Here is a 9,050-nt window from a genome sequence, read left to right as displayed (position 1 = left end):
AAAGAGAAAGAGAGAAATACCAGTCACTCCAGAGCCTTTCACACTGAAAGAAAACAGTATTTCCCAAACTCGTCATATTTTTTTTGGTGCATCTGTAGCTTTGCACATACTGTTTCTTCTGCCCTCTAATGTTCTCCCTCACTTCATCTTTATGCCCCATTGTATTTTGCATATACAATATATCTGTTATATCACATTATAATATGGCCTGAAGTTGCAGATGAGGCCATGGTGTCCTCAGGCATTATCCACAGAAGTTAGAATAATGCATATAGCCTATCCCTTATGAAACTGCTGAATGGATGAATAAATGATTTATTTCATCTACTTGTTTCACTAAGAAGTAAATTTCCACATTAGAAAATTCCTTCAACTCTGAAGATTAGCTCAATTCCAAACCACATGAATTTTTCCAGTAAACAGAGTTTAAAAGCTAGTTGGAGTTAACTGCCTGTTTTATTATGTATCATTCTTTAAGAATTTTTTTTCTTGAAATGATGTAGAGTTCTTATATTGAGTATTTTTTATTTGTATTAACCCAGAACTATTAAGATACAAGCCTGTTTTGATGACATTACTTTCACCTGATTATTTTCTTCTTAAAATCTGTACATACGCCAGGTACTGTCCGCTAGCACTCAAACACAGAATGTTCCATGCTGTCTTTGTTACCTCATTATTTTCTTCTTAAAATCTGTACATACGCCAGGTACTGTCCGCTAGCACTCAAACACAGAATGTTCCATGCTGTCTTTGTTACCTCATTATTTTCTTCTTAAAATCTGTACATACGCCAGGTACTGTCTGCTAGCACTCAAACACAGAATGTTCCATGCTGTCTTTGTTTCCAGAAAGATTGAAACCACTTTCCTAGAATGTCTTGACTATTGGCTTTTAGATAGGTGCCACCCGTGGGAGGTACTGAAGCAAAATTAGAAGGCAGGAGGAAGGGAGACACTTCTGCTTCTGGCTGTGACAGGCAACTCCAGGTTTCTCAGTGGTAGCCTTGGCTCCAGCATCCTCAGTGAGAGCTGAGGATATCATAGAGTTAGCACAGGGGTCTCCAGTAAAGGGATCAAGGGCAGCTGCTTCTTAGCTGCAATGGCTGAATCCCCAGCAGAGTCAGTGATGAATCTAGTCTCGTAGCTCTGTCCCAGCAGTTGTAGCAGCTTCCTGATCTTGGGATAATATCCTCCCTTTTGCTCGGTCAACCTTTGTAACACATTTGTTACCAATTCCCTATGTTAAATCCCATTGTTAGAAATACCTAGAATGATTTATGTTTTCCTCATTGGATACTGACTGATAAGAAAAGCAGTAGGCTGTATTTCTGCATTCAGAAGTATTCACCAAAACCTAGCCTTGCAGTCATGTTCTTTGCCTACCTTTTGTTTCTAAGTGTAATACTTCTGTCCTATGTCATTCAAAATGATGCATTTTTAAACTGAGCAACATTCCTCCTATTTCCAGATTTTTTTTTTTTACTTATAAGAATATAAAATCTTATCTTTACTTCTGTTACCCCACAGAGCCTAGCATGGTGCTGAGTTAGAATTACATATCCAAAAATATACTTGTTGAATTGAAAGTTGATTAAAATACAAATGAAACTATAAGTCACAAAGCTAATAAGAATAATCTGAAATGTGTCCTCCTGATCAATACAGAAAGTTGAGCGTGTAAGAAAGAATGGAGGTAACTTTGACTATCCTTACTTTAGCCTTATCTGTTGTCTATGGAAATAAGCAAAATGATTTGCAGATTTTCCGTTTTATTTATATAAATGTTCAACTTCAGTAGGTGAGTGATTGCTTAGTGTGCTTCAAACCTAAAAGCCTGGGTTTGTTAAAGAAGGTGGAATTTATAGAGGTGTAAGGATGTAGAAGGAAGATTGAGACTAAGTGCCTTAAATGTCCTTCTATTTCACAAGTTTCTAATACATTTTTAAATATCTCTATTTAATAATAGAAACATCTGCTATTGGATTGGTTAGTCATGATTTTCTATGCTTTATTCAAGCTCACCCTTCTTCATCTACTCTTAAGAGTTTACTGCACACAGTTTTAAAGAGGTTTTCCACCTGTAAAAAGAAAACTCAAAGCAAGGACAATAGATTTTATAAAATTCAGAAAGATATAACAAGGAGTATTTATTTTAAAAAAGTAGAAATGCCGAAGAATTTTCCTCTAGTGTGTGAATCATCTATAATCTCTAATACCCAGCAATTCTAATGTTAATTATAGTTACAAGTAGGGAGACAACAGCAGGCTTATATGAGAGTAAAAAATTTGATTTTAACATGAAGGCATGACTAGTAATGACAAGATGAGCACTGAAACATTTAAACATGAATCTTTTGATGTGAGTGTGGAAAGAGCTGGGACTTAAACTAAAGAGCTTTTGCACAGCAAAAGGAAGAGCCAGTAGAGTAAACAGACAACCCACAGAGTGGGAGAAAATCTTCACAATATATACATCTGATAAAGGACTAGTATCCAGAATCTACAACAAACTCAAACAAATTACCAAGAAAACAAACAAACAAACAGTCGCATCAAAAAGTGGGCTAAGGATGTGAATAGACAATTCTCAAAAGAAGATATACAAATGGCCAACAAACATATGAAAAAATGCTCAGCATCGCTAAGGATTAGGGAAATGCAAATTCAAAACCACAATGTGATACCATCTTATTCCTACAAGAGTGGCCATAATCAAAAAATAAAAAAATAATAGATGTTGGCATGGATGTGGTGAACAAGGAACACTTCTATACTGCTGGTGGAAATGTAAATTAGTACAACCACTGTGGAAAATAGTGTGGAGATTCCTTAAAGAGCTAAAAGTAGAACTCCCATTTGCTCCAGCAGTCCCACTACTGGGTATCTACCCAGAGGAAAAGAAGCCATTATGCAAAAAAGATACTTGCACACACATGTTTATAGCACCACAATTCACAATTGCAAAAATGTGGAACCAACCCAAATGCCCATCAATCGACAAGTGGATAAAGAAACTGTGACATATATATATACAATGGAAGTCTACTCAGTCATAAAGAGGAATGAATTAATGGCATTTGCAGCAACCTGGATGAGATTGGAGACTGTTATTCTAAGTAAAGTAACTCAGGAGTGGAAAACCAAACATTGTATGTTATCATTCATAAGTGGGAGCTAAGCTATGAGGATGCAAAGGCCTAAGAATAACACAATGGACTTTGAGGACTCGGGGAAAGGATAGAAAGTGGGTGAGAAATAAAAGACTACAAATTGAGTGCAATGTATACTGCTTGGGTGATAGGTGCACCAAAATTTCACAAATTACCACTGAAGAACTTACTCATGTAACCAAACACCATCTGTTCCCCAATAACCTATGGAAATAAAAAAATTAAAAAAAAATAAAACTATGTGATGTGCATTTAAAAAACTCAATAAACAAACTAATGGTTGCTTGCTATGTATTTCTGTTGACACAGAAGAGTGCATTCTGCATTTTATCTAGTTCGAATTACTGGACAACCTGTGGGAAAAAGTGGCCTTATCCTTTTTCACCTCTTTGCGTGCAGTGGCTTCAATGGGTCTTATTTGGTTGAGATCATAGCAGGATTCTATTTGTATTTTTTTAAGCTCCTAAAATCTCCTTTGGAGCACTGTGGCCAATCACTGCTTCTAACTTTTGGATTAATTTGAGGGTTTAAGTTATAGGAAAGTGATTATTAAAACCCGTGATTTGTTTTCAGCAGTAGTAGAATTTATAAAATACCAGTTACAGGAATTGACTTTCTGAGATGAAAAAGCAAAAGAAAAGGAGAAGTTCATTCTGAAACAATAGAATCTTAATTGTAGAATATGTTTTCAATATGTAATGATATTTGCCTCTAAATATTTAAAAGAGAGCTCCTTTCATATTTTCACTAATTAATAGTTGGCAATTATTTGCAACTTCAATTTATTGCAGTTATTTGTGTAGACTGTCATTTGTACAGAGTACCAGAACTATGTTTGTATGTAAGTAATAGTATCTAATATGGTTGAAAGTGTTCTCTTAGGTAAAATGCTAATTTATTACGTTATTAAAATATTGATTTCCAGTGTCCTATGACCAGCTTTTGGAAAGCATCCCACGTATCTAGTCTGTCAAGTAAGCACAATGACAAGATTTCATCCTTCTTCTCACCTCACCATTCATTTTTTGAGTGTTCATTTTTTAAAACTGTTAATTAGTAACCCTTTATGTACTCTATCACATAATCAAACATCACAAAAAGGTAGTGAATTTCATTGCTCTAGTGGTTCATTTGCCTGACCAATTCACTTACCAAAGCAGTTGTCAGTGGAATCTGGAAATATATACATATATATATATACACACATACATACATATATTTATTTTATATATGTTTATATACATATATACATATACACACACACACACACACATATATATATATACATGTATTTATTTTACTTTAAGTCCTAGGGTACATGTGCACAACGTGCAGATTTGTTACATATGTATACATGTGCCATGTTGGTGTGCTGCACCTATTAACTCGTCATTTCATTTACATTAGGTATATCTCCTAATGCTATCCCTCCCAACTCCCCACACCCCCTGGCAGGCCCCGGTGTGTGATGTTCCCCACCCGGTGTCCATGTGTTCTCACTGTTCAATTCCCACCTATGAGTGAGAACATGCAGTGTTTGGTTTTCTGTCCTTGCAATAGTTTGCTCAGAATGATGGTTTCCAGCTTCATCCATGTCCCTACAAAGGACATGAACTCATCCTTTTTAATGGCTGCATAGTATTCCATGGTTTATATGTGCCACATTTTCTTAATCCAGTCTATCATTGGTGGACATTTGAGTTGGTTCCAAGTCTTTGCTATTGTGAATAGTGCCACAGTAAACATACATGTTCATCAGCACTGAGTTTGGGACCTGAGAACGGACAGACTGCCTCCTCAAGTGGGTCCCTGACCTCCGAGTAGCATAACAAGGAGGCACCTCCCAGTAGGGAGGCGACTGACACCTCATAAGGCTAGGTGCCTCTCTGAGACGAAGCTTCCAGAGGAAGGATTAGGCAGCAACATTTGCTGTTCTGCAGCCTCCGCTGGTGACACCCAGGCAAACAGGGTCTGGAGTGGACTTCCAGCAAACTCCAACAGACCTGCAGCTGAAGGTCCTGACTGTTAGAAGGAAAACTAACAAACAGAAAGGACATCCACACCAAAACCCCATCTGACGTCACCATCATCAAAGACCAAAGGTAGATAAAACCACAAAGATGGGGAGAAACCAGAGCAGAAAAGCTGGAAGTTCTAAAAATCAGAGTGCCTCTTCTCCTCCAAAGGAACAGAGCTCCTCGCCAGCAACGGAACAAAGCTGGACAGAGAATGACTTTGACAAGTCGAGAGAAGAAGGCTTCAGATGATCGGTAATAACAAACTTCTTCGAGCTAAAGGAGGATGTTCGAACCCATCGCAAAGAAGCTAAAATCCTTGAAAAAAGAGTAGACGAATGGCTAACTAGAATAAACAGTGCAGAGAAGTCCTTAAATGACCTGATGGAGCTGAGAACTACGTGATGCATGTACAAGCTTCAGTAGCTGATTTGATCAAATGGAAGAAAGGGTATCAGTGATTGAAGATCAAATGAATGAAATGAAGCAAGAAGTTTAGAGAAAAAAGAGTAAAAAGAAACAAAGCCTCCAAGATATATACATATATTTTATACACATGCATTAGAACTGTTATTCAAATTTAGATATCTGATCCTTTTGCAATTTATCCTTGTGTGTAGTGTGAAGAATGGATTCAATTTTATCTTTTACATTTAGTTATTGTCTCACACTTTATTAAAGTCCCTTCCCCACCCATTTCAGATGATGCCTTTATCATATACTGAGATTTCATATATATTTTGGTCTATAATCAGATATACTATATTGGGTCATTGGTCTGTTTATGCACTAATCCCACACTATTTTATTTATAGAGACTTTATAGCATATTTTAAAATTTCATCTTGTCATCCTTCCTCTCACTGATTTTCTTTCATAAAGTTTTACTTTTTATCTATTTTTATGAATAAGCTAACTAATCAGCTTGTAGCTTAAGACAAATATGGTGTTTTATTAGGATTATTTTAGGTTTATAAATTGCCCCAGTGAGAATTAACATCTTTATGATGTTGAATATTCTAAGGTAAGAACCTGATGTGTATTTCTGTTCACCGAGATCTACTTTTGTGTTTTTTTCCAGGAATGCTTTATAGTTTTACTCATGCAAATTTTGCACTTCTGACTTTAAGGTGATGTTTAGGTATTTTATTTTTTGCAAAGTTGTGAATGTGTCCTGTTTTTCTATCATTTCTTCTAACTAAATTTTGTTTGTAGAGGCTATGGATTTTTATGTTTATATTCTGCTACTTTATTAAATTCTTTTATAGTTTTTAGTAGTTTTTCCAATGGATTCTTTTGGATTTTCCAGATATTTAACTATATAATCTGCAAATAGAGATGTTTTTTCTTCCTCCTAAGTTCATGTTTTCATTATCTCTAATTTGATTACGTGAATTAGTGTTTCCAATCCAAAGTTAAATTGTGTTGAAAATAATAGATCCTGGTCTTATTTCAAATTTTACTAGGAAAACCTCTAGTGATTTTCCATTATATAAAGATTCTGGCTTTAGGGCTGAGGTAACTGCACATTTGCATGTGGTGTGAGTGTGTGTGTCTGTGTGTGTGTGTGTATGTCTGTGTATCTTTAAAGGAAGTATCCATAATTCCTTCTTCTTGGACTTAAAATAATTTAAACAGCTTTAGCATTATTTGATCTTAAAAATATCATAAAATTCCCTCATGAAGCTATATGGGCCTGGTACTTTTTAACCTGAGAGTTATTTTGTAATGTTTCTAATTCTTTTATGGAAAATTATTTACTTGGAGTTTTTTATCTTGTTTGGGAATTTTGCTAACTCTCTTTTCCCTAGAAAATTACCAGTTTCTACTAGAATTTCAATTTTAGTTGCATAGAATTGTGGAAAGTTACCTAGTCCATTTGTTAGCTTTTTGTTTCTTGATCATATTTTCAATATAGCTTTACTTTTAAAATTCATCTAAACTAACATTTTGTATTCAGTATGATGCCTTATGTGGTGCCTAAATGTTTTATCTTTTCTTCTGATTCTTTTGCTAGCTTATTTGCTTACATTTGATAATTTATTATTTTGAACTCATACCTTGCTGAACTTAATTGAAAAGGAAAAATTAAAGAAATATTTCTCTCCAGAAAATATTTTCTATTGTGAGCCCCCAGAGAGCACCATCAGCCTGAGTCTATGTGGTAGACATGGAGAGGCAGCATACAGATCCCCCTTCAAGAAAGAACTTGCTGCTTAACTCTGTGGCGTATGCTAAACCAGGGGTCCCCAAACCCTGGGGCACAGATTGGTTGGCCCATGGCCTGTTAGGAACTGGGCCACACAGCATGAGGTGAGCCGGTTGGCAAGTGAGCAAAGCTTCCTCTGTACTTACAGCCACTCCCCATTGCTCACATTACCTCCTGAGCTCCGCCTCCTGTCAGATCAGCAGCAGCATTAGATTCTCACAGGAGCATGAACCCTATCGTGAACTGCACATGTGAGACATGTAGGTTACGAGCTCCTTATGAGAATCTAATGCCTGATTACCTGTCACCATTTCCCATCACCGCCAGATGAGACCATCTAGTTGCAGGAAAACAAGCTCAGGGCTTCTATTGATACTACATTATGATGAATTATGTAATTATTTCATTATATATTACAATGTAATAATAATAGAAATAAAGTGCACAATAAATGTAATGTGCTTAAATCATCCCCAAACCATCCCCCTCCACCCCCTGGTCCATGGAAAGATTGTCTTCCATGAAACCGGTCCGTGGTTCCAAAAAGGTTGGGAACTTCTGTGCTAAACAGATAAGCTCCACTTATCCACTTGGGGTCTACCTCAGCTGCAAAGAGCCACTGCACCTGAGGTCATGAAGCAGGTATAATAGTTTGGCTATCATGGACCACCTCGGACACCCTGATGAACAATACTCTGTATCTCTCTGCTTTTTTGGCTGGGGCTTTGTTGGGCCTGCATCATTATTCATCTTTTCCTTCTGCCCAGTCCTGCTCCCTCGTGCTTCCTTTCACAGGCTTTGATCACTAATAAACAACTGTGCCTCAATCTCTTACTCTTGTTCTTCTGCTGAAGAGCCCAACCTGTAATACACCACTTGAAAACAATTTATTGGCATAGATCTTTCACAACCTTGTAAATAACTTACGTTTGAAACCTGGCCCAATCGTGGGCTAGTCTATGGTTAGAAATTCCAAGAGGAGACTATTACTATTTCATTTTTTCCCAGTCAGAACTATGGTGGACATAGAGAAGTTTAATTTTAAATTCCCTTTGAGGTTTTTCCTCAAGTAGGCAGATTTTCCTCTAGTATATACTTTCACTGAAAGTGTGACTTCTCTGTGAGGGGGGTCTCAGATTTCTCTCCCTTCCTTTCCACTGTGCAAAAACCTAAGGCCTAAGTCACTGGCTCCCACACAGACTGACATTTAAACCCCTAAACACTGGGATCTTAGCAAACTCCTACTTAGCTGAATTTAATGGTAAGTAGGCTAAAGTGAAAATGCTTCTCTCTGTAGATAATTTATCTTTGCTTCTGCCAGATGCCTGGAGTAACTCCCAGTCAAGAGTACCATAAACTGGATTTTCACCTTGGGATATTAGGACCTCACTGGAAATGTGAATTCCAGCCCCAAGTCCACCCAAGTGTGAGCTTATGATTATGAATTCTCAGGATGCAGTCTCTCTCAGCCAACAACTATGACTGTTTTAGTTCACTTGGGTTGCTCTAAAGGAATACATGAGATTGGATAATTTATAAAGAAAAGAGGTTTATTTGGCTAATGATTTTGCAGGCTGTACAAACATGGCACCAGCATCTGTTCCTGGTGAAGCTTCAGGAAGCTTCCAATCATGGCAGAAGGCAAAGGGGACGC

General features: G+C 37.0%; 1 annotated feature.

Moving 5' to 3' along the window:
- Nucleotides 7,521-7,580: a silencer, noted in NCBI's record as "silent region_18583". NCBI's record gives its function as "represses an Ori minimal core promoter by ATAC-STARR-seq in GM12878 lymphoblastoid cells {active_cell/tissue: GM12878}" and the evidence as "EXISTENCE:reporter gene assay evidence [ECO:0000049][PMID:35858748]".

This window comes from Homo sapiens, chromosome 7, assembly GCF_000001405.40.
Source record: "Homo sapiens chromosome 7, GRCh38.p14 Primary Assembly".
Lineage (NCBI taxonomy): Eukaryota > Metazoa > Chordata > Mammalia > Primates > Hominidae > Homo > Homo sapiens.
Note: the sequence above shows the minus strand (reverse complement) of the source record. Positions and strands in the feature narration are given on the sequence as shown.